This window comes from Homo sapiens, chromosome 10, assembly GCF_000001405.40.
Source record: "Homo sapiens chromosome 10, GRCh38.p14 Primary Assembly".
Lineage (NCBI taxonomy): Eukaryota > Metazoa > Chordata > Mammalia > Primates > Hominidae > Homo > Homo sapiens.
In genome coordinates, this window is record NC_000010.11 from 116,587,862 (window position 1) to 116,612,409 (window position 24,548).

Genomic DNA, 24,548 nt, shown 5'->3' on the forward strand with positions numbered 1-24,548 from the left:
GACCCCTACAGAGGAGCGCAGACTTTTGGACCTAATGCACTCCAACTGGCACCAGGGTTTGTCTGGCCTCGGTGAGATCTACCAGCGGTCATCAAGGACTTTGAGAACTCTAGGTGAAACTCAGAAGCTGAGTTCACTTCCCACAGACAGGTATCTCTAATAAAAGAAAAAGAAATCAATAGCTGACTAATGATGAGGCAAGTTCTTGTACCCTACTTCCATTACAACACACAGAGGGAGAGTCTGCCAGTTCATGGGATATTTAGAAACATAGTTCAATGTAATACAGTCTGATTCTAGGCTCTGGAAGAGATTTAAAAACCAGCTTTCTCAAAACAAACATTTCTCTAAAATTAAGGGACTCCGAAAACCCACCTTGAACCCAACTCTATCATTCCCCCAGAATTAAAATTGAAGGAGCAAACAAGGACAGAGCTGATTGCCTGAAGGAAAGCAGATATTTGGGCTTCATCTACACATGTATGTATAACAGATAATGGCTGGTGACTTCATTCTTTACTTTTGTGACCTTCAATGAGTCATACGTCTTGAAGACCTGAGAGCTGTCTGGTGGAAATGAAGTCATGGTTTCAAAAAGAGATCCACAGATTTGTATGCCTATGAATCCTTACTTGTGACCCTGAAACTGGATGTAAGTTCAATCAAAATATTCCAGTTGTTGGCCAGACGCAGTGGCTCACGCCTGTAATCCCAGCACTTTAGGAGGCCGAGGCGGGCGGATCACTAGGTCAGGAGATCGAGACCATCCTGGCTAACACGGTGAAACCCCGTCTCTACTAAAAATACAAAAAAATAGCTGGGCGTGGTGGCGGGCACCTGTAGTCCCAGCTACCTGGGAGGCTGAGACAGGAGAATGGCATAAACCCAGGAGGTGGAGCTTGCAGTGAGCCGAGATCGCGCCACTGCACTCCAGCCTGGGTGACAGAGCAAGACTCCATCTCAAAAAAAAAAAAAAAAAAAAAAAGAAAAGAAAAGAAAAAAAGAAATTCCAGTTGTTATTGTTGTTTGAAAGACTCACCCAGAAATCTTTCCATCTGGTGTGGAATGAATAAATTGTCTGACAGCCTGTGAAGGAGAAGCAGCTTGAACCTCAGCCTTGCTAGAGGCTTAGTCTAATTAAATCCCCTAGAGCATTTAAACAGGAGCCAGTGCATTGGAGCACAGTGTATATTGACTGATGCACGGAGTTTCCTCATTGTCTTAGGAAAGGGTATGCTCGAACCTGGTGCTGTGTGCTAAAGAATAGTAACAGTGAGTGCAACAGGTGCTGCTGTCTCTGAATTCCAGGCCTGGCTTGGGTTCCTGTATTGGTTAGCTACTGCTGCATAACAAACAATCACCAATTCAGTGGCTTAAAGCACTGAATTAAAGCATTTATCCATGCTCAAAAATCTGAGTTTGCTGGGTGGTTCTTCTGGTCTTGGCTGGATTTACTCATGCCTCTGTGGTTACAGTGGGTTGAGTAGGCAGTGCCACTAATCTTGGCTGGGTCCTTTACATACTTGGGGGACAGCTGGCTTTGAGTTGTTCAAAGATGTTGCTGTTACCACACTTAATGACCAAATCAAGTCATACCATGTCTAGCTCAGATTCAAGAGGTGGAGAAATAAACTCCACTTCTTGATGGAAGGAGCTGCAAGATCACATTGCAAAGGGTGTGTGTACAGGAGGAAGGGATGAAGAACTCTGACCACCTTCCCAGTCCATCACCAAGTCTAGCCTGTTTCTCCATCCTGGGGATGCCTGGAAGTAGGGAGGAAACAGGTCAAGGGCCAAGAGGGTTTTCACATTTTCTCTTTTGACTCATTCTGTGTATCCCTCTTGTTCTACATGGTTGACATCCAGTGAAGCTTGCTGATTACTAGCTCAACACAACTGAATATTCAACAACTCTGTACAGCCTGAATTCAAATCTTACCTCATCACTCGTTAGTCGTGTGACTTTTTAGGCAATTTACTTATCTCTCTGTGCCTCAGTTCCCACATTTATAAAGAGAGGCTTATGGGATTGTTTTAAAACTTATTAGGTAATACACGTAAGGTGCTTGGAATTCTGACTGTACTTGGTAAGGCTTCGTAACAGTTGGCAGCTATTCTTTATGATTCCAGGAGTCCTTTCCATTTTCTTAAGAGGAAGGCCCTTAGGCCTGCACCCTTGTGTTTTGGTTATTTAAGATTGAGAACTTTGACACCGAGGCATATTTAACTTGGCAAGGGGAGGCACTCATGGTGTTTGCTTTGTGAAGGCTTATCTGCCTTGCTGTGTGAACTGGCTGGGCTGTTCACAGATGCAGAGGTCTCTGGTTATATCATGATGGCTTTACAGGGTCCAAGAATTATCTGCAGGTGTGCAACCTTCAGAGGACCTGGGGAAACTCAACAGACATGACATGGGCCTCTGGGGGCTCCTGAACCCAACTATTGAGATTACAGTGGCATAATGCAATCATTGCTATTGTTTTAAAGTGTTGTCTTTTGGATTGGTTCATTGCATAGCAATATATAACTGGAATAGGCAGTTAATGGGAGGATTGTGGTCAGAAGCTACTGTGAGGGCTGTTGAATTTTTCTCCAAAGCTCAGATGCCCAGTATTCCTAGTCTTCGAAAGAGAGAGAGGAAGATTGAGAGAGAGAGAGAGAGAGAGAGAGAGAGAAGAAGTTTTCTTAATCAGAGATTTCTCTTTACTTTCAACTAATTGCAGGTATTTTCATCTATTCTAAATGAGAAATACTATCCTCTATCATTAGGGTTTGCTGCTGTGTCCCTATTGAGACTTGTAAACTATTTGGTGATGAAATAGAAAACTGAAAAGTGAGGGCCCATTCAGCTCACAAGTACATGCATAGTTACATAGGTACAAGGTTGGTGACTTCACTCCCTGCTTTAACCAAGCATTCTGTCATATTTCCAGACTTGTGGGAAGACTTGACAGCTATTATTAATCTTGTTTTGTGTATTTGGGCAGATTAAAGTATTAAGTGCGCACAGCATGGGCTATAATCACCTGCTGTTTTCTTGAAGTAGTGTCCAAATGATAAGGCTGGAATATATATTTTTAGAAAGGGCTGGACACTCGATCCGGTGGGAGGGAACATCTGGAACATTAGACAGGGTAAGCCACCTTTGCAACTCCTTTCCCCCTGCTGTGACGTACAGGTGAGGTAAACAGTACTGAAGTCCAGGGCGTCGGTGCTCACTGCTCTGGCAATGCCCGGTGAGACTGAATTATGTTTAAATTTATTGTAGATGCTGATCTTCTGGACAATCACACTTTTCCTGCTGGGAGCAGCCAAAGGTAAGAAACACCACTCCTGCCCCGTAGGAAGGGCTTAAACTTAAGCTCTCAGCCCTGGCCAGAGAAAGCTTTAACTGTGGCAGGGCTCCCAGCAGCTCCAGGGTACCAGAGAGAAGATGTGGGCTGACACTCTGCCTGGGAGAGTAGGCTGGGCAGTTTAAGGGAGACCTGTTTCTGGGGATCCCCCCAGTGGCCTACCTTCATGCTCGGGGTGCCCAAGGCCAGACATTTCTAGGTAAAGCATGAAACATCTGCCTGAGTTAACATATTGACTTATCAATGCCCATGATCACATTGGTCAAATAAATGTATCAGAAGAGCTAGGAATGGGACTTAGAACTTTCCAGTTTTGAGGGTAGTTCTAAACAAAGGCTCCAGTGGTGTCCCTGTGGGATTCAATGGGACTGATACTACTACCGGCCAGTAGTAGGTGGGCACTGGGGTCAAGAAGAGAGTGGGAGGGGTTGCAGTAGGTTCATCCATTGTCTTCAGACTGTCCCTGAATAGAAGAGTGACCAGGCCCGAACAGCAGTGACACCCCAGAGCACACCTTGAGAGCAAATCCTTGAGCAGATTCAACCTTTCTCTGTAGGAAAAGAAGTTTGCTATGAGGACCTCGGGTGCTTTTCTGACACTGAGCCCTGGGGCGGGACAGCAATCAGGCCCCTGAAAATTCTCCCCTGGAGCCCTGAGAAGATCGGCACCCGCTTCCTGCTGTACACCAATGAAAACCCAAACAACTTTCAAGTGAGACCTCTGTCATTTAAATGTCACTGTAACTGGCACGGGGCTATGCCCACCCTGCAGACCATGAATACCTTATCTCTGTGCCCTCTTCCTCCACCATGCCCCACCCCATCCCTCAAGCTGCCCCCCAGACCTAGCTAGACCTAGACAGAGCAGGTCTTTAGTAATGTTGGCTTGAATGAATGAATGGTTCACATTTGCCAGAACCTCTAGCTACTGTGTGATTCTGGTCTGGGGCAAACAGCTTACTGTCTAACAAAAACCACAGGGAAGGTAAAACCTCAAACCACAATCCAGGCCTAGTGGAAGCAGTGATTACTCACCTGGAGAGATGGGGCAAGAAAAGGGAGATCAGGGTGGGCTTCATGGAAGAAGTGGCTTTTTGCTAAGCTTTGAAAAGTAGAGGCATTGGCGCAGGCGGAGATGAGGAAGGAAAAAGGCCTGTGAGGCTGGGCTGCGAAAACATGAAGCACTTCTGCGTCTGTCACAGATTCTCCTCCTCTCTGATCCATCAACAATTGAGGCATCAAATTTTCAAATGGACAGAAAGACCCGGTTCATCATCCATGGCTTCATAGACAAAGGAGATGAGAGCTGGGTGACAGACATGTGCAAGGTAGGAGCCAGCTCTGATCCCTGTGGCCAGCTGAGGCCAACACTTCTGCTAACATCTCTGCATCACTTTATGCACTCAAGAAATCTTTACATATTAGGTAACTTTATGCAATTAAAATGCTTCTCTTCACAAAAATTAAAATGCCTTTCCATGTTTCCGCACTACATCTGCACACTGAAGCAACCACATTTGCTGTTAGAAAAGTACTCCTACTACCTAATTTCTGGTTAAACCAAGGCCTGATGTTTTCTGCTTCCATTTGTAGTGAGGGTACTTTGTATCCTATAAGCGAGGGACTATAGGGGTTTCTTTGTTCAAATTTTTCCCACATCCCTGAGAGGCTGACATGTGTTGCTGTGACCACTTAATTGATCCCAGCACTTTGGGAGGCCAAGGTGGATGGATCACCTGAGGTCAGGAGTTCGAGACCAGCCTGGCGAACATGGTGAAACCCTATCTCTACTAATGATACAAAAATCAGCCTGTTGTGGTGGCAGGCTCTTGTAGTCCCAGCTACTTGGGAGGCTGAGGCAGGAAAATTGCTTGAACCCAGGAGGCAAAGGTTGCAATGAGCCAATATTGTGCCACTACACTCCAGCCTGGGCAACAGAGTGAGACTCCATCTCAAAAAAAAAAAAAAAAGAAAACTAAGATTAAGTTACTACAATGACAGAATAGAAAGTGTCACCTACATGTAATATAGGTCAGAAGGAGAGCAACAGAAGAATACACACATGTGCACACACACACATACATACATGGACATGTGTGCAACTTGTGCATACACACACAAACACACACACATGTGCGTGCAATATACCACAATATACCATCATCCTTTCTATTTATGTGGAGACTAGTTCAATCGATTTTTCTGTCACCTAAGAATTTACCTACCCCAGGAGCCTGCCTTCCACACATACATTAATAACACCAACCAGTAATGTCAAAAGGAAAAATTACAAACCCAGAAAATTAAAGTCATTCTGCACTTGCCCTTGGTTTAACAGGCATTTCACTCTTGGCACCTTTCCTGTCCTATCATTAATAAGCATCTTATTGATACAGTTTATACTCCAAATTCTCCAGGCTTGTGAAAGTTTCCTCAGGATTGCTTGAAAATGAAAGTCCTGGCCAGGTGCGCAGTGGCTCATGCCTGTAATCCCAGCACTTTGAGAGGCCGAGGCGGGTGGATCACCCGAGGTCAGGAGTTCAAGACCAGCGTAGCCAACATGGTGAAACCCTGTCTCTACTAAAAGTACAAAAATTAGCCAGGTGTGGTCGCAGGCGCCTGTAGTCCTAGCTACTCAGGAGGCTGAGGCAGGAGAATTGCTTAAATTCGGAGGCAGAGGTTGCAGTGAGCTGAGATCGCGCCACTGCACTCCAGCCTGGGCGACAGAATGAGGCTGTCTCAAAAAAAAAAAAAAAAAAAGAAAGAAAAAAAGAAAAGAAAAGAAAAGTCCTGAGGAGAAAACTCCCACTATCTCTGTGCATGTGATCACACATATTAGTATACTATATGTGGAATGATTCCAAGTGCATTTTAAATTTATAGTACCATTTTAAATTCAAGCTGGTAATATGTACTGCCTGGCAGAACTCCTAAAGATATATCAGCTCCTTTGACATCCAGGAAGACATTTTCCTTCCAGAATTCTTCAATCTCTTTTAAATCAGTACAGTTCTATTTTTCAAATATCTACATGTGTCTACTCCATGAAGTACTGTGTCATCGTGACTATAAAAATAGTGAAACTTCTCTCTCACTTTCCAGCAGCCTGGGGCATCGCCAAGAGCCTGAAAGGACCCCTTACAGTCAAATCCACAAGGTCATTTAGACACTGGCCACCGGAGATTGCACCTAAGACTTTTCCTTTTCAAAACAGGACTCTTTTCATGATGCAATTGTTTTTCCCTTACTAACCAACCTTACTGAATTTGGTTGAAGGAAACCAGAGAGTAGCCAGCTTCCAATTAATCTGCAAGCTGGAGGGGGAATCAGTTTGCCTTTCTCATAGCATTCACCCTGAAGGATAACTCCTAATTACCAACAGGATTCCCTAACAGAGTCTAGTTTATCTCATGCCCTAGCTAGGAGAAGAGAGAAGTGGCCATTTCTGAGCCCTGGCTGGATAAGGTTTCCCCTGCTCCCATTATCTCCCCAACCCCACTATCTCCCCAACACCAGAAACTGTTCGAGGTGGAGGAGGTGAACTGCATCTGCGTGGACTGGAAGAAGGGCTCCCAAGCCACCTACACACAGGCTGCCAACAACGTGCGAGTGGTGGGCGCCCAGGTGGCCCAGATGCTCGACATCCTCTTGGTGAGTCAGCTGGCTGGCCTATGTGAGGAGGGAAGCAGTGCCTGCTGGTCTCTGTTTGGTAGAGATGCAGCTGAGAGTTATGGATTAAAGAAGGACAAAGAATTGATATCCAGACCTTACTTCTAAAACTCTGAAATTTGCCTTCATAATGACACGCCAGTGGAAGCAAAAATAAGAATCGCTAACACTTAGAAAGTGGTTTTTTAAAAATCATCTTCAATTTACAGATAAAGAAACTGAGGCCCAGAAAGTTTAACTAGTTTGCTCCCAAAGTCATAAAGCAAATGAATAGAAGACCTGCCTTTTGATCCAGACCATCTAGCTTCAGAATTCACCCACAACACCAGGTGGGCTCTGTTTCGCGTGAAACACAGCATGGCCAGAGAGAGCCACAGAGAGCCAACGGACAGTACGTGCAATTGGCATGTACCAGCTCTACTGGCCTGGTGGTATGGGTCCTATTGATGTTGGGGAATTCCTTCTGCCACAATCATTTCACTTATTTCTTCCTATACTGTTTCATTATAGCTAACTCCTTCAGTCTTTAATTCTTTAAGTTGCTAATCCTTTGTGACTATTTTCTATACCAGGTAATGACTACAGCCATTTCTGTCTTATAGTTAAAGGGTCTACAAAAGAATCAACTTCTGCACTCCTGCAGAAATCAAAACCCATGGTATTTGTGCAAGAAGTATGATAGACCAATAAATGAAGTGCCTTTGGGTGAACGTCTCTGAGATCAACATGTGCAAATACCTCATAGCTCTATTTGATTTGCTTGTTCACCAGTACTTTTGGAGCAGAATGTCAGGAGTATGTGAGGAAGTAAAGAAGACACATGAGATCCCAGACCATCAAGGAGCTTGCAGTGAAAACTTGCAATGCCAGTAGAGTGCGATCTATTAGTGGGTTCTGATGGGGAGAGTAGGAGCTTTACAGGAACACATAGAAGGCAGCTAATCCACACTGATGGGGTGGGGAAAGGGCTTAAGGAGGTCTCCCAAGGAAGAGACGTCTAAATTGACAGCTGAAGGCTAGTCTGTTGATGTTAGCTGGCAAGTGCTTGGGGGATAGACAACAACAAGAAGAGAAGAACAAACCAGGCCCAGAGGTGAGAGGCTATGATGTATTCGAGGGTCTGAAAGTTCAACAAAGGGTTTGGCTGAAGAGTCTAGAAAAATAGATGATGAGTTAGGAAAGCTCGGAGGCCTTCAGAATGAGTTTGGGCTTGATCCTGAAGGCAATGAGAGGCATGGAAGGTTTTCAGCAGAGGAGTAATATCCATTAGGCTGGCATTTTAGAAAAACCACAGCAAAAAATGTCCTGAAAATACAATCTTCCCTCTCCAGACAGAGTATAGCTACCCCCCTTCCAAAGTTCACCTCATTGGCCACAGCCTGGGAGCCCACGTGGCTGGAGAGGCAGGAAGCAAGACTCCAGGCCTGAGCAGGATTACAGGTAAGGCCCCAGAGGCAGGGCCCCAGTTTTGTCCCCAGAAACCCCAGAATGAGGTCTCAAGAATGCAGCCCAGTTCAGAGCTCCCCTGAAGGAGACTGTCCCCCTTGGCTGTGATAGAGCTGCTTGGAGCCTGCACAGAACATTTTAGGGAGCCCCCAAGAAGCTCATGCGCCACCTTCACGGCAAGGGAAGGGTGATTTTGTTCCTCTTTGCTTCTTCCACCTCTGTCCTAGCCCCTCCTTTCTAAGTCCTGGTTTTCTGGTGGTGTTCGCCTCTCAACAGGACTGGGCACCCAGGAAAATGCAGAGTGAGACTAGTATGAACATGAGCAAAACATAATCAAGGAGGGTCTATATTGCCAATTCTTTCTCCCTTCTCTTTGAAATCAAGGGCAGAATAGAACCTAAAAATTGTTTCCCACTGCTTCTACTAGTAGAAGAAACCCAGTCGCCATTATGGCCAAAAGCATTCTTTTAACCCAATCAAAGCATTTGAATTATAACAGCAACAGCAAGATATATCTACATAATATGATGGTGATAATAATAATAATAATGCTATTATAATTATTATGATAAGCATAGATTAAGTGCCTGCTTATCCCAAATACTGCACAAAATGCTTTATATTTTCTTATATAATTCTCAGAACTGAAGAAAAAGGCTCAGGGATGCAAATAACTTGCCCAAAGCCACACAACTCATCAGTGGGAGAACTGAGATCCAGACCTGGTTTTGCCGATGTTTGGCTTAAGCAACTCTTTATAAGAAATCTCTCTTTTATTTTCAGCTGGCAACTACATTCACGTTCCTATTTTATCAGCTGCTGTAATGAAGCCTTCAAAAACTATTAACAAATCCAAGATCCCTACTAAGAAGGAAATTTGTCAAAAACAATAATTATTAATATCTTACTTATACACCCATGACTATACACCAGGCATTGTGCTAAGTGCTACCTATTAACTCATTTAATCTATAACAACCATATCAAATAGATGCCATTATCACCCCATTTTGTAAAATGAAGAACCTGAAGCACAAAAAGGTAGAGTGACATGCTCAAGGTCATGCATCTTGCCCCAAAAGCAGCTGAGTAGGAATTTGGAGCCAGGCAACCTAGACCCAGAACCTGTGTTCTTAACTATGATACCACATTGCTTCACCCCTTTCTTTCTACAAGCTTGGGGAGAGAAAGGATGATGAAGAAGAAAGATACACAAGTAAATGGGAGACTCTGGTGTGGAAAAAATCCTTGCTTAAACAAAATCTAAATTTCTTTGCTCATTTGTCCTCCTCCATCCACGCCACTGGGAACCCTTTTGCAATGAGCCACATTCAGACTCTATGTCCTCATATTTAGCACCCAAGGCCATGGCACTGCATCACTCTGGTGCATGGTACCCATTGAGTTGGGCAGTGCATAGCCCGGGCAGCTGTACACCTTGGTGCTGCTGACATCTACAGTCAGGTCTATTGTTCTGCAGTGCTGATCATCTCTTTTAGGGTTGGATCCTGTAGAAGCAAGTTTCGAGAGTACTCCTGAAGAGGTGCGACTTGATCCCTCTGATGCTGACTTTGTTGATGTGATTCACACGGATGCAGCTCCCCTGATCCCATTCTTGGGTGAGACCTATGATGCTCCAGCTGTGAGCACGCACAACTGTGTTTTAACCATGAAAGTCCTGCATGACAAAAAGCTCATTGTTTTTCTAAGCATTTCAGGTTTTGGAACGAACCAACAGATGGGTCATCTTGACTTCTTCCCCAATGGAGGAGAGAGCATGCCGGGATGCAAGAAGAATGCCCTGTCTCAGATCGTGGATCTAGATGGCATCTGGGCGGGTAAAGTCATGGTGGGGTGAGGGGAGCAGGGCGGGTACTTTCCTGGAGTGACCAATACCTTTCTGCAGCAAATCTTAAGAATAAAAATGAAACTGTCTTTAAAAATATACAATTCCCTCTTCTGGGGATTATTTCAGAAAAAATGTAGCTACATAGTATTTGTTATATCTCAGCTTTACTGCTTTTGTGCTTCCTTAAAACATTGCTGTGGATGTCCTGGCATGTACAAGCAACAAAGAATTATAAAACTGTCACTTAAAGCTGTGACTCCAGCAATCAGTTGGTAGTTACCTAATACAGAAAGGAAATACCATAAGAGCAAACATCCTGACTGTAACTAAGAGACTTTTGCTACAAATTCTCTCTTGGGAGTCAGTGATAAGGTTCAAAATGATGTAATCAGCTCCCTTTCAGTAGCTAGAATGAGAATATTCCCAGTGGTTTCCACAGCAAGCCTATTTGCACAATGAGAGCCATTGCTCACCCATGTTGAGTAGGAATGAGGAGCAATCACAGTTAAGGAAGGTGAGATGGGAGACTGCTATTGGATGTGGTTATTCTTTATTGTTGATCTAGCACACTTGGGAAGAAAGGGCATCCTGCAGACACAGCTCTGACTCTGTATCTAATGAGGCCAAAAGGACAATGGACAGGTGAAGTTTTCATCCAGACTTGTCATGTGGCACCACACGGAGAAAACCCTTAGTAGTCTGACCAAATGTAATGAGTAAAGATTTTTACTGAATTTCATCAAAATGGCTTGGCATATATGGATGCCATCAAAGCAAATATTAAGAATGAGGACAGGCCAGCTGTGGTGGCTCACGCCTATAATCCCAGCACTTTGGGAGGCCGAGGCGGGCAAATCACTTGAGGTCAGGAGTTTGAGACCAGCTTGGCCAACATGGTAAAACCCCGTCTCTACTAAAAATACAAAAAGTAGCCAGTCGTGGTGGTGCGTGGCTGCAATTCCAGCTGCTCGAGAGGCTGAGTCAGGAGAATCGCTTGAACCCAGGAGGCAAAGGTTGCAGTGAGCCGAGACCATGCCATTGCACCACAGCCTGGGCAACAAGAGCGAAACTCCATCTCGAAAATAAAATAAAATAAAATAAAATAAAATAAAATAAAATAAAAAATAAAGAATGAGGACATATGCAGTTTGTCTTTCACAGCCTCATGAGGGTTTGCGTGCATAGGGCAGTCAAAACTCTTCATCAGTAATGGCCCAGCAAGCTCAGGCCAGGTCTAGAAGGTATAATGTAACATTTGTCACTTGGCAGGAGTTGCAGGGAGCCCAGAAAGGTTGCAAGTAAAATCAAGACACTATGAGAGTGAAGCTCATACAAAACCACCTAAAGTTATCCAGCCCTTGTTTTTATTTGTATAACTGCCGCATGGAAATGTCCTCGCATTGGCTTGGTCATGTCACATCTGGTCATGTCTTTGAGGACCTCCAGCATGGTGCCTGGGACATGAGATGGCACTAAGGTTAGAGGGATGGGCCGAAGACAAGATGGGCATGGGTTTAATTACCAGCTTTCCCACCTATTAGCTAAGCTGTAAATCTGAGGCTACACTCTGTAGTCCTTTCTGTAACATAGGAATGAGATGATAATGCATAAATAAGGATGATATGGTACCCACCTCCTAGGAAGACTGAGGATTACATGGACAAGGCAGGTAAAGTGATCAGAATGTTGCCTTGTACACAGAAAGCACCCTCTATATGTTAATTGTCATTATGGTGGCTGAATTTTGGATTTATCTTAAGTTTCTGAAAATACGGTCCTACTTTGGAACCATCCCATTTGGAGAGAGAGGCAGAGAAGCTGTTACAGGCCCCCAACCACCTGTTCAGGTCTCCTTATTTGTTTTCCCAGGAACCCGGGACTTTGTGGCTTGCAATCACCTAAGAAGCTACAAGTATTACTTGGAAAGCATCCTCAATCCCGATGGGTTTGCTGCATATCCCTGCACTTCCTACAAGTCCTTTGAGTCTGTAAGCTATTGTCCTGCCTCGAGCAACAAGCATCACCCCTCTGAGGGACTGCTGTCCTGCTGCGTTTGGGATTTGCAATGCCTTCTCACTACACGTTTTGCATTGACCCTCAGAGTTCATGGTCCTGTGGAGTGGAAGAGAAAAAAAAGTAAACAACTTTTGGCAGGAGATGGCTAAAATTTTAGATGACATGAGTTATGTGGCAGAGGAAAACTGGGAAATCAGAGAGAAAGAGCAGTCAATTCAATGATATAGAGGCTTCCTGCAGGAGGCAACCTCTGAATCTAGCTTAAAAATGATACAGTTTAGAAAACACAGGAATGCACATTTCTGGCAAGGGCAGAGCGAGAGTAGAAGAATGTATAGAGAATAATTCACACCAGAGAGAAAGCAAGGTGGATGCTGGAGTCCTATATGCCAGGCTGGCAACAAGGGGAGAGATGAAGAATGACAGGTTAGAGCCTGCCTATTCTGGCTCACGAAAGCCAGCATGAGTATCCCTTCCCAACTCCAAATTCAGAGACATCATGTTGGTAGCCTGAAACTGGCCACAGTCAGAGTATTTACACCACTGAAAATGGTAAGCACTGCAATCCAGGGTTTTTGTCCCAGAGCTTTTGCTGCTTATCATTCACCAGCTCCACTCAACAGAAGGTATAATTGATCTAACCTGGGTCCTGGGCATCAGTATTTTTTAAAGCTCCTCAAATAATTCTAATGTGTTGTGCCTAAAAGTTGGGAACCCTGATCCAGATGAAGGTAATTTAGAGATCATCTGCTCCAACCCCTTTGTTGTCACAAAGGAGAACGCTTAGGCTGTAGGAAAATTGAGTGTCTGCCCTCTCAGATGTATCGATCATACAAACACAAATTCTCCTTACAGTCCCATCTATCTCTTCTCATTAGGACAAGTGCTTCCCGTGTCCAGATCAAGGATGCCCACAGATGGGTCACTATGCTGATAAATTTGCTGGCAGGACAAGTGAAGAGCAGCAGAAATTCTTCTTGAACACAGGAGAGGCTAGCAATTTCGCTCGTAAGTTGCACTTTGACTACCTGCCCATGTAAAGAAAGTATATAGTTTCTGTTACAAATGAGGGGCTTGCTTTCAACCTGAAATATTTGTGGGTACATTTTAATTATCTTAGAAATGGACACATTTACCGAAACTATTGCAGTTACAAGTAAACTGAGGATTTAGACAGAGTGTGCATTTCTTCCGTTCTATTTCTGCGGCATGAAATGAGAGCAAGCAACTAGTATAATTAATGGGATGAGGCCAGTTTGCACATCCTTGTGACCAGCTACCCTGAATTTTTACCACTCCACAGTTCATTGTTTCTTTCCTTTTTAAGGCCGCATCAGACACACCTGTTCTCTTCATTCAGCAAAGACGTAATTGGTACCAGCTCTTTGCTGGGCTATGTCCCTTAAGAAGCCCAACTCCATTCTCTGCTTTCCCCTCTGTCTGTGCATCCCTGATGCCCAGGGGCTGCCTCGCTGGTGGAGTGCAGGCAGGAATCAGGGGGAAGGATGATTTCTCTCCAAAACCTGCTGAATGGACTAAGACACAGGGTAGAGACTGGGCATGTTTGGGCCACTTTGTACCAACCTGCCCCATGACACTTCCATAGGAGGTGACCCAGTAAAGACAGAGGTTACATATTCATATAAATGTATAACACATCTTACATAGTTTTTAAAGTCAGATTTATTGAGGTATAATTTATATTTGGCAAAATGCACGCTGTTTAGCATACACTTGTATGAGTTTGGACAAATGAATAGTTGTGTAAACACCTCCAAATCAAGATACAGAACACTTCTATCACCATATATATCACTCTGTAATTTTTTTTTTTTTTTTTGAGACGGAGTCTCGCTGTGTCGCCCAGGCTGGAGTGCAGAGGCGCAATCTTGGCTCACTACAACCTCCCCCTCCCGGGTTCACGCCATTCTCCTGCCTCAGCCTCCCGAGTAGCTGGGACTACAGGCGCCCGCCACCATGCCAGGCTAATTTTTTTTTTACATTTTTAGTAGAGACGGGGTTTCACCATGTTAGCCAGGATGGTCTCGATCTCCTGACCTTGTGATCCGCCTGCCTCGGCCTCCCAAAGTGCCGGGATTACAGGCGTGAGCCACCGCACCCGGCCCACTCTGTGTATTTTTTTTGTAAGAAGACATTGATTAATCAATCCTTCCACTGATGTTGTGATGCATGAAATACTTGCCAATATTTCAACAACAAATTAAACACTCAAAAACCAGGTATTCATTCCTCAATCAACATTTATTTATGGGCCACAGACTATGCTAGACACTGAGGATGCAGGGACGAACAAGAGACTCCTCTCATGAAATTAATAATCCAGCCAAAGACAGAAACTGGGCAAGCAACTACAAGCGTGTTGGGCTTGGTGGCTGTTGCCATGACATTATGGGACAGAGAACCTGGCCCTGACCAGAAGGAGGGTCAGGGTCAAGGTCTCTGAAGACACGAAAGATGAATAGGAGTTAGGCAAGAATCATGTCTGTGTATATTAATGTACATCTGTGCACATGTGTGGGTGTATGAATGCATGTGTGAGTGTGTTTGTGTATGTACCTTTGTGTGTATGCATGTGTTTATATACGTATGTATATGAGTCTGTATGTTTATGTATATGTATGTGCATGTGTATGTATATTTGTATGTGGGTGTCTATGTATGTGCGTGGTTAAATGTGTGTAGGTTTGTGTGTGTGTGCACATACACATGCATGTTTGTGTAGATGTATGTGTGTGTGCACATGCACATGTTGTGTATATGTATTTGTGTATGTGCACGCACATGCATGTTTGTGTATATGTATTGTGTGTGCACATGCATATGTTTGTGTATATGTATTTGTGTGTGTGCACGCACATGCATATGTTTGTGTATATGTATTTGTATTTGTGTGCGTGTGCATGCAGGCCCTGGGACAGCATTTCAGGTAGAAGCCTAAGTGACAGCTGCTCGTGCACCTGCTCTGTGCTAGAGACTGCCCAGGGCCCTGGGGAGCAGAGAGGAAACACAGTCCCCGCCCTCGAGGTGCTTGCCAGGCTGCACTCCCGAGCTACCTTCCCAAATGTGGAGACAAGCCCCTATTCCCTCTCTCTTCACCTTACCTTACTGTACTGCCATTCTGGGGCAGAGCTGGCTAACAGAACTTTCTGCAATGAGGGGCATATTCTGTGTAGCCATTAGCCTCATGTGGCAACTTAACATTTGCAACACAGCGAATGAGTTTGAGAAACTAAATTTTTAATTGTATTTAATTTGGATTTAAATGTAAGCAGCCACATGTGGCTGGTGACCTCCTCCCTGGGCAATGCAGTTCTAGAGGGGGATACTGCTAAATACATACTTCTCCATAAGGCCTTGTTTGATTTGTAGATTAACAAATAGAATTTCTTATACTTTGGCTGGGTGTGGTGGCTCACGCCTGTATTCCCATCACTTTGGGAGGCGGACACGGGCGGATCACTTGAGGTCAGGAGTTGGAGACCAGCTTGACCAACATGGCGAAACTCTGTCTCTACTAAAAATACAAAAATTAGCCAGGCGTGATGGTGTGTGCCTGTAGTCCCAGCTACTAGGGAGGTTGAGGCAGAAGAATTACTTGAACCTGGGAGGCAGAGGTGGCAGTGAGCCAAGATTGCACCACTACACTCCAGCCTGGGTGACAGAGTGAGACCCCATCTCAAAAAATAATAATAATAATTTTTTAGAAAAGAATTTCTTATGCTTTGTTGCCTCAGAGTAAGAGAAGGAGACAAGTCTGGGATGTAGGCTACTTATTTTGTGTGTGAATAAATTGAACTCTTCCATCTCCTGTGCAGGCTGGAGATATGGGGTTTCCATCACACTGTCTGGAAGAACAGCCACTGGTCAGATCAAAGTTGCTTTGTTTGGAAATAAGGGAAACACTCACCAGTACAGTATCTTCAGGTAATTTCCTATTTTAACACTACGTCTCATTTGATGATATACACAGCCTTCAAACCACACACTTAATTTGAACACTTATCATCTCTTTATATGTCACTGGTTTTTAATTATAGTCATGCAACATGTAACAACATTTTAGTTGATGGACCACATACACAACAGTTGCTTTATAAGCTTGTAATACCATATTTTTACTGTACTTTTTCTATGTTTGGGTGTTTAGATACACAAATACTTACCATTGTGTTCCAGTTGTCTACAGAACTCAATACAGTAACATGTAGTACAGGTTTGTAACCTAGGAGCAATAGGCTGTACCATACAGCCTAGGTATGTAGTAGGCTGTGCCATCTACGTTTGTGTGAGTACATGCTATGATGTCCACACAATGATTAAATTACCTAAGGACACATTTCTCAGAACATATCTCCATTGTTAAGCAACGCAGGACTATATAACTTTATGTACTGATGTTAATTGCAGACTTCTGCTAATAATTTTTCTTTTCTGTTATAAACCTAGGCATTTCGTCCTTTCTCTCTCTTTTTTTTTTTTTTTTTTTTTTTTGAGAAAGAGTCTTTGCTCTGTCACCCAGGCTGGAGTGCAGTGGCACGATCTTGGCTCATTGCAACCTCCGCCTCCCGGGTTCAAGAAATTCTCGTGCCTCAGCCTCCCAAGTAGCTGAGATTACAGGCATGTGCCACCACACCTGGCTGATTTTTGTATTTTTAGTAGAGATGGGGGGCGTTTTGCCATGTTGGCCAGGCTGGTCTCGAACTTCTGACCTCAAGTGATCCACCCATCTCGGCCTCTCAAAGTGCTGGGATTACAGACGTGAGCCACCATGCCCGGCCTCTTTCTCTTAATAGATGTTTTTTTAAACATAAATCTAATATTACTTCAGATATGCTGTTTTCTGATTAGTGCAATAACACATGCTTATTGTGCCATACTATGTGGCCAATTTGTTACTGTACAAATAATTCTTCCAAAACATATAAAATGATATGCAGGAATTCTATTTTATTTTCTATTAGAAAGCTTTAAGGAAAAATTAACTTGAGTTTTAAAAACCATAGTTTGAGGTGCTAGCATATAGCTGGCTTTTCCATTTCTCCATCCTTTATTTGGAAATTAATTCGGAAAAATAATCCTGTTAATCTAGAAGAGAAAACAGCAGCCTGGCATTGTATGGTAATTAGAACTCATTTCCGTGAACAGGGATGTTTATGTTTCTCTATTTCAAGGGGGATTCTCAAACCAGGCTCAACCCATTCCTATGAGTTTGATGCAAAGCTGGATGTTGGAACAATTGAGAAAGTCAAGTTTCTTTGGAATAACAATGTGATAAATCCAACCCTCCCCAAAGTGGGTGCCACCAAGATCACTGTGCAAAAGGGAGAAGAGAAGACAGTGTATGTATCTTTGCTGGCTGGTGCCTAAAAATGTTTGCAGAGATTCATGTTATAATGAAAACCCACCCTAGAAAGTTACGTGTAGTTAAGCAAGAAAAGCCAAGAAAATTTACCCATCTGTGGCCCCTTCTCCCCAAACAAGCAACTGACAAACAGCATAAAATGTTTCTGTTGGGTGCACCTTATTGGGTGTTCTCAGCACTGCCTGTGGGAATACAGAAGATAAGGCTGCACTTTCAAGGTAAAATGAGAAAATACAAGAAAGAGAACAAGAAATCCTTTCTGAAGGGTACAAGTTTATAAGTATGGGCTAGTGAATAGCTATACTTGAAAGAGGAGAAGACCAATTACATTTCAGGATAATAAAACGGAAAATAAATCGGTTTTAGGAAAAGATCGAAAATTTTACATAGGACAAGAATGCACTAGGATTGCAATACTTGTGAGATCCTGACCTGTGGTCTCCCTGGCTTTGGGCCTGAATAAGCACAGGGCCGTGGGTAGGAAAAAGGGACGGCTGGAGGAAAGTTGGAGTGGTGACCTGAGAGGGCAGAGCGACTGTCTCTCAAACCTCAGACCCCAAGTCTGGCTAGTAGAACATGTGGCTTTGTGGGAAGGAGATCCTGGGCTCTCAGCCACCGATGTTCTTGAAGTTTGGGGTTAGGTGGAGTCACCGAGTTCAGGTCCCAGAGATTGTCACTCCCCCAGGTGGGGAGGGTGGGGTGGCAGAGTAGAATGGGGGCTGACTCCACATCTGGGTCTCCTCGAACTGGATGACTTAGTGAGGTTCTCCTTATCCCCACGAGGCAAGGAGAACAAAGAGGTTGGCCCTGCCAGGTGGTGGGTGGAACCAGGAGGCCTCATAAGCTAGAGCATAGTACAGAGGAGGCTGGGCCGGGCTGGTCGGGAGCCCTGTGCAAGCTGGAGGTGCAACCAAATCCTTTCCTCCCTGACCCCATCAGAGGATACTCAGCCTCTAAATTCAGCTCCCCAAGGCCCCATTAGCAAGCATCCCATGGCCTGGATCCTGGGACTGTGTGGTTAAAAACATGTCAGGTGGTGGCATCATTGGAATCTTAAAAATTAGAGGTGTTCCCAGGAGATGACTTGCTCACAGGTAAGGCATACAAGTCCAAATCAGCCAGGGCATTGCATCTTCCAGGTTTTCTGAGGAAAGGCTGAGGCTTTCTGAACTTTCTGCAAATGGAACAGAACATACTTAAGGCTGCACCTGAGGTCCTGTGCCCATCAGCTGTCACCTGCATTCCAGTGGCTGAGTGCAGCTCCCCTCGCTGTCTGCTCCAGAAAGACTCTTTCTTAAGAGCAGCTGGATATAAGACATCAGGTTTTCTAAACAGAGGAAAGTCAAAACAGCTTCAAATCTCTCAAACTAGTTTGGGAAGTAAAAACACTGAATTAGTTGAATTACTCAAACATTTTCCTGTTATGAAAATGGCCAGTAACATTTAATAATAATAATAATAATAATAATAATGAAGAAGCTAAAGAAAATCAAGATTTTGGTCCAAGCTCTTCTCAGAATCCCCTCATATTTTTTAGTAACCTCATTGGGGTTTCAATTCCTACTAAGGAATCTGCCGACTAGGATTCCCTCCAATGACACAGTATCCAAAGAGAAAGGCAGCCCTCCCCCTCTTTATTTCTCCGTCCCCCTCTCTTTATTAAGTACCTTTGGTAAATGTACCCTTGCAAATGACTTTATTCAGTACCTATTGTATGGCCTGGCAAACAGTAAGGGATGCAAACACTGAGCCTACACTCAAGGAGCTTACAGTTCAGCTGTTGAGAAAAATCAGACTTATGGTTCACAGGGAAGGTCAAAAGACCAAATAAAGAACTCCCAGGAGAGGCTCAGAAAGACAGTGGCCAAGGAGGAAAGCAGAGGGCCGCGGGGAGGCTGTGATGGAAGGAAGGGCAGCTCTCAGGATGAGGCAGGGAGTAGGAGGGAGGAAGGGCACAGGGGCAGGGCAACAGGTCCAAGTGCATGAGGGGCGACAGGGCCCAAGTGCAGGGAATATGATCGGAGGCCTCCGATGCCAAGTTAGGGCTTCTTGGCAGAAAAAATGAAACACAGAAGAGAAAGTGGGAAGGGGCCAAGGAACACCAGTGAGGAAATGGGGCAAAGCTTCCGAGCTCACAGGTGGTGAGGCCTGAGAGAAGTCCGTGGTTCTTGAACAACCACAAAAATAACTGCTTACATCTGCATTGTTTTTTGTTAATTGTAAGACTTTTTACATTTACCATCATGGGATGTTACGTTCTTATCATGGAATTCTCAACAGTCGTGGGAGAATGACTGAGATGGAATCTCGCTCTGTTGCCCAGGCTAGAGTACAGTGGCATGATCTCAGCTCCACTGCAACCTCCACCTCCTGGGTTCAAGAGATTCTTGTGCCTCAGCCTCCCAAGTAGCTGGGATTACAGGCATGCACCACCACGCCCGGCTAATTTTTGTATTTTTAGTAGAGACAGGGTCTCACCATGTTGGCCAGGCTGGTCTCAAACTCCCGGCCTCAAGTGATCCACCTGCCTCGACCTCCCAAAAGTGTGGGGATTACAGGCATGAGCCACCACACCAGGCCTTGCCTTGCTCTTTTGATACTGTGTCATTGGAGGGAATCCTAGTGGGCAGGTTGTTTAGTAGGAATTAATACCCCAATAAGGTTATTAAAAAATATGAGGGGATTCTGAGAAAAGCTTGGACCAAAATCTTGATTTTCTTTAGCTTCCCAGTTACTAACTACATCCTTCCTCAGAGTCCTCAGATAACTAGCCCCGAAGCACTCAAATGTGGGAGGGAAAGGTCATGAGGAACTCCAGGGAGGAACGCCAGGTCCCCCGACTCCAGAGCTGGAAGACAAGGTCAAGGAAGGCTTGATGTGTGATCCTACCATGGAAAATACAGCCTCTGGCATCAGATGGACCTGTTTTTGCATCTTTGTTATTCTGCTGATTAATGGAGCGCCCTTTGTGCCTCAGTTTCCTCTCCTGTAATGTAGAACTAATCATCAGACCCCCTCACACATGTGTGGTGAGGATGCAGTTTGCATAAGTGAATTAAGCAGCATAATTGGCTGCAGATGAGAAGGGCTCAGGGCGTGTTGGCCGCTGTCCCCTTCCGAGAGTGACTGGAAGACAGCATCCCTCTGTAAGCCAGGCTGCTGGGCCTATGGAGGCCGCCAGGCGCCTGTGGGGACAAGGAGGTGAGAGTCCCTGCCTTCGGAGGCCACCGTCCTGTGTGACACTCCAGAACCATAGCAGACCTTGTCCTAGAGCCTCCAGGCAGCAAGCGCTGTAGGCGCTGGTTGCAGCTCCAGCCCTAGTGCCCCCTCGTGCCTCCTGAATCACTCATCAACTGTGACCTGGGCTTAACCCCTTAAGAAAAACCAAACCAAACCAAACCAAACCAAAACAAAACAAAACACCTGGCTTTTGCTAAGGTGACCCAAACTCTTACAAAGCTTCCTTTTCTCCCCAGGTACAACTTCTGTAGCGAAGACACAGTGCGGGAAGACACGCTGCTCACCCTCACGCCCTGCTAAGCTCCCGGGGCGACGAGGCTGCTGCGTTCACACTAATAAAATCCACTGGTGCATCTGTATGCTCTGGGTCTATCTCCTGCCGCGGCCGCCTCCCGGGGATACATTTGGGAATGGAACGTTTGCAAATGTCCCGAGCACGTCCCCATACCTGGGTTTCTCCCCGTTAACTTTGGGTCACACGGTTTCCCTGGCTCCTGTGCGTAGGTCGACTGTCTTCTCCGTGCCTGAGCTGGTGGCGATGGACTGAACTCCGGAGCCTCAGCTCAGGGATACCAGCCTTTAGCCCCGTCCCTCACTTCACAGGGAGGAAACTGAGGCCCAGAGGAGCAGGTAGCTGTTCAAACTCACTGAGTGACTCGCTGTCCCCGTCAGGTCGGAGGGCCGGGCCCCGGACCCCTATTTCAAGGACCCTCCCTGACTCACCGAGACCACCCCGAGGGATCGCGGCAGGCCCGGGAGGACCAGCCTCTCTGAGGAGGTAGATTTGAGGGTGAGGGGACCCCTCGTTGGCCCTGGCTCTTGGGGAGGTGCGCAGAGGCAGGCACAGGTGCAGGGCGCTCCCGGGCTTCCTTCCTGCTCCCCTGGGTCGAGGCGGCCTCGCGGCCACCTAAGCACAGAGCGGCGCGGAGGCGGGGCCCAGGCGGGCCCTGCTGAAACGGGCTTTTCCGTCAGCCAATCGGCTGGGGCCCCGAGGAGCCTCCTCCCCCCCCACCCGCCAGTCTGGCGTCCCCATGGGCCCAACCCATAGAGACCTGGGAGGAGCGGGCGTTCTTTCAGGAGGCGTTTCTGCCCCGCGGTGTCCCAAGTCACCACTCCCCCCAGGGAGTCTCTCTGTGGTTCACCAAGCCCCGCATCCTACCCCGGCAGTCCTGGTGCCAACTTCTTTTTCTCTTTTTTCTTTTTTTTTTGAGACGGAGTTTCGCTCTGTCGCCCAGGCTGGAGTGCAGTGGCGCGATTCTCGGCTCCCTCCAAGCTCCGCCTCCCGGGTCCACGCCATTCTCCTGCCTCAGCCTCCCGAGTAGCTGGGACTACAGGCGCCCGCCACCACTCCCGGCTAAGTTTTTTTGTATTTTTAGTAGAGACGGGGTTTCACCGCGTTAGCTAGGATGGTCTCGATCTCTTGACTTCGTGATCCGCATGCCTCGGCCTCCCAAAGTGCTGGGATTACAGGCGTGAGCCACCGCGCCCGGCCACCGACTTCTGTTTCTAACCTGCGTGGCCACGTCAAGCTATCATTGAACTTAAGACTTGAATGCGAGTGGGCTTCGATTATCCCTCCAAAGCAGGGTCGTGGCGAGGATCAAAGGAGCGACCTTAGGAGGGGCCTTACAGGACAGGGTGCAAGGCGAGTGCTCGGTAAACCGCGGTGATGACGAGGGTGATAAAGACGGCGGCGGCCAGGGACACCCACCCCTTGGGTGGTGGCACCAAGTGGGAGACAGCCAAACCCTCTGGTTCTCTGTCAGTTTCAGCAGCATCCGCAGTGAGCCCACACCCCAGGCAAAGAACTCAATCAATGGAACGTAGATTCGCCAAACATTTATCAAATACCAGCTCTGTACCCACCCCTGTGCCAGGCATTGGCAGGAGAGGAAATCAGAAGACATGCTGCCCTCAGGCAGTGCTTGGTGTTAGGGAGGCTGCCCCTGAAAAAGCACTGTGATGCTGCCTACTAGGTACAAAAAGCAAGGTAGGTCCCAGGCCAGGGAATTTCAGAAGGAAGGAGCAAGACAAGAAGGCTCCACAGAGATGGTGGTTACAGGACCAGGCTTGAAGGAAGATGTCCTACCAAGACCGCAGCCTGGGAGGCCAGCTAGGAGGAGGCGGCATCTGCCAATACCCAGAATTGATAAGGACCATCTGAGGGTAGTGACTGGAACCAAGGTATAAGGGAGGGGGTGTGGCTGGTTGGCCATGGGTGAGAGCCCTACTCCCTGGTCAAGGACAGTCTGTCTCACCATGCTTCCCAGACTGACAGCTATGGGTGTGATGACTTGGGAAAAACAATTTTAAAATAGGAAGGAAACTGAGAAGAGAGAAACTGGAGAGAGGAAGCCAGCTGGGGAAGCTCCCCAGGGCTGTTGGCCACATCCATAAGCACTCGGCCAAAGCACTGCTCTGAACCTTGGAGTGACCTGTGGTGACCTGGGTCCCAGTTGCAGAGGCAGAGATGGTTGGATCTCCAGGGGCAGGGGAGGCAGCAGATGGAGACCTGAGCTGGAACGGGGCCAGGCCCCTACTCACTCCTCCCACATTCCCTTCCTGGAACCTATGTCCTTTTATCAGTTATGCAGCTGGAAAAATCCCCAGGAAGGTAAAGAACAGCAGGTTCCAAGATCACCAGTGTGAACTTTGACTACTGATCAGTGTGGGTATCTACGGTCCACTTTCTGATGCCACTGGGGAGTCCAAGCTCAGCCCCACAGATCCGTAGCCCTTACACCCTGACTTGAGGAGATGTGGAGTCCAGGACTCTCTGGGGTAGGCCTGCCCTGTCTTTATGGCCCTGACCAAATCTGATCAGGTTTCTAGATTTAAGGGGTTGTATGAGGCCAGCTTGATTGGACTTTTCTATTTGTGTTTTAAGTAACAAAAGTGGCACATTGTTCAGAATGCACATGGATAGAGTCTTTGGGGCAATGAAAATATGCCATACTAACATTGACTTTATTAACATAAAGCTCAGATGGACATCCAGTCTTGTTGGAAGCAATGAAAAAGGGCACTGAGCTAGCATTTAGGATTCTAGTCAAGCCAGGTGACCCTGGACAAGGGGTTTCCACCTCTCTGGACCATAGCTTTCTCATGGGTAAAATGAATGCAACATTTGAGCCCTGTCTTTCTCATGTTGTCTTAAGGGTCTAACTTACAGGGATGTCCAACCGTTTGGCTTCCCTGGGCCACATTGGAAGGACTGTCTTGGGCCACACATAAAATACACTAACGACAGCTGATGAGCTAAAAATAAATAAATAAATAAAAATAAAAGTTTAAAAACTTGCAAAAAATCTCATAATGTTTTAAGAAAGTTTACGAATTTGTGTTGGGCTGCATTCAAAGCCAATATGGGCTGCATGCAGCCCGTGGGCCGTGGGTTGTACAAGCTTGGATCAGCATCACCATGGGAACGTAAGGCTCTAGCCTTAAGTCAGTGTGCTATAAGGCGAGCAAGGCCATCTAAGGAGTGTGGTCACAGTCTGGCTGCACACCCCAAAGTTACCCGAAGGCTGTAGGCATGCAGAGCTTTGGGGTCCCTGCTAGGTAGCAATGCTTGTTAAGGTTGGCTCCAAGCC

At 46.0% G+C, this 24,548-nt stretch overlaps 1 protein-coding gene and 1 long non-coding RNA gene across 4 annotated transcripts, besides 1 other annotated feature; one reads left to right on the top strand and one right to left on the bottom strand.

Annotated features, from left to right (window-relative positions):
* Positions 602 to 806: a silencer, noted in NCBI's record as "fragment chr10:118347975-118348179 (GRCh37/hg19 assembly coordinates)". NCBI's record gives its function as "represses an EF-1alpha promoter that drives an FKBP-Casp9 reporter gene in an ReSE screen in K562 erythroleukemia cells {active_cell/tissue: K562}" and the evidence as "EXISTENCE:reporter gene assay evidence [ECO:0000049][PMID:32094911]".
* Positions 3,098 to 21,314, top strand: PNLIPRP1 (pancreatic lipase related protein 1). Of its 3 annotated transcripts, none has more exons than NM_006229.4 (13): positions 3,098 to 3,134; positions 3,269 to 3,317; positions 3,910 to 4,064; positions 4,555 to 4,680; positions 6,869 to 7,003; positions 8,353 to 8,461; positions 9,967 to 10,086; positions 10,186 to 10,305; positions 12,186 to 12,304; positions 13,211 to 13,340; positions 16,169 to 16,277; positions 17,525 to 17,692; positions 21,192 to 21,314. In NM_006229.4, exons 2-13 carry the CDS (start codon positions 3,269 to 3,271, stop codon positions 21,253 to 21,255), a joined length of 1,404 nt encoding a protein of 467 aa, NP_006220.1. In that variant the 5' UTR covers positions 3,098 to 3,134; the 3' UTR covers positions 21,256 to 21,314. The 3 variants fall into 3 exon arrangements, with proteins under 3 accessions (NP_006220.1, XP_047281320.1, NP_001290064.1); NM_001303135.1 differs by lacking the exon at positions 3,098 to 3,134 and adding an exon at positions 3,152 to 3,178; XM_047425364.1 differs by lacking the exons at positions 13,211 to 13,340; positions 16,169 to 16,277; positions 17,525 to 17,692; positions 21,192 to 21,314 and having other exon boundaries at positions 10,178 to 10,305; positions 12,186 to 12,274.
* LOC124902510 (uncharacterized) lies at positions 17,281 to 21,886 on the bottom strand. Its single transcript, XR_007062299.1, has 2 exons — positions 21,404 to 21,886; positions 17,281 to 19,042 (listed from the first exon to the last, which is right to left on the bottom strand). It is a non-coding gene; the product is annotated as an uncharacterized LOC124902510 (long non-coding RNA).
* Between the last annotated feature and the right edge of the window lie 2,662 nt (positions 21,887 to 24,548).

Coding starts and splice junctions, on each gene's coding strand:
- PNLIPRP1 (NM_006229.4), top strand. CDS start 3,269: ATGCTGATCTTCTGGACAATCACACTTTTCCTGCTGGGAGCAGCCAAA. Junction 8,462..9,966: donor AGGCCTGAGCAGGATTACAG/GTAAGGCCCCAG, acceptor CATCTCTTTTAG/GGTTGGATCCTGTAGAAGCA. Junction 17,693..21,191: donor AAGGGAGAAGAGAAGACAGT/GTATGTATCTTT, acceptor TTTTCTCCCCAG/GTACAACTTCTGTAGCGAAG.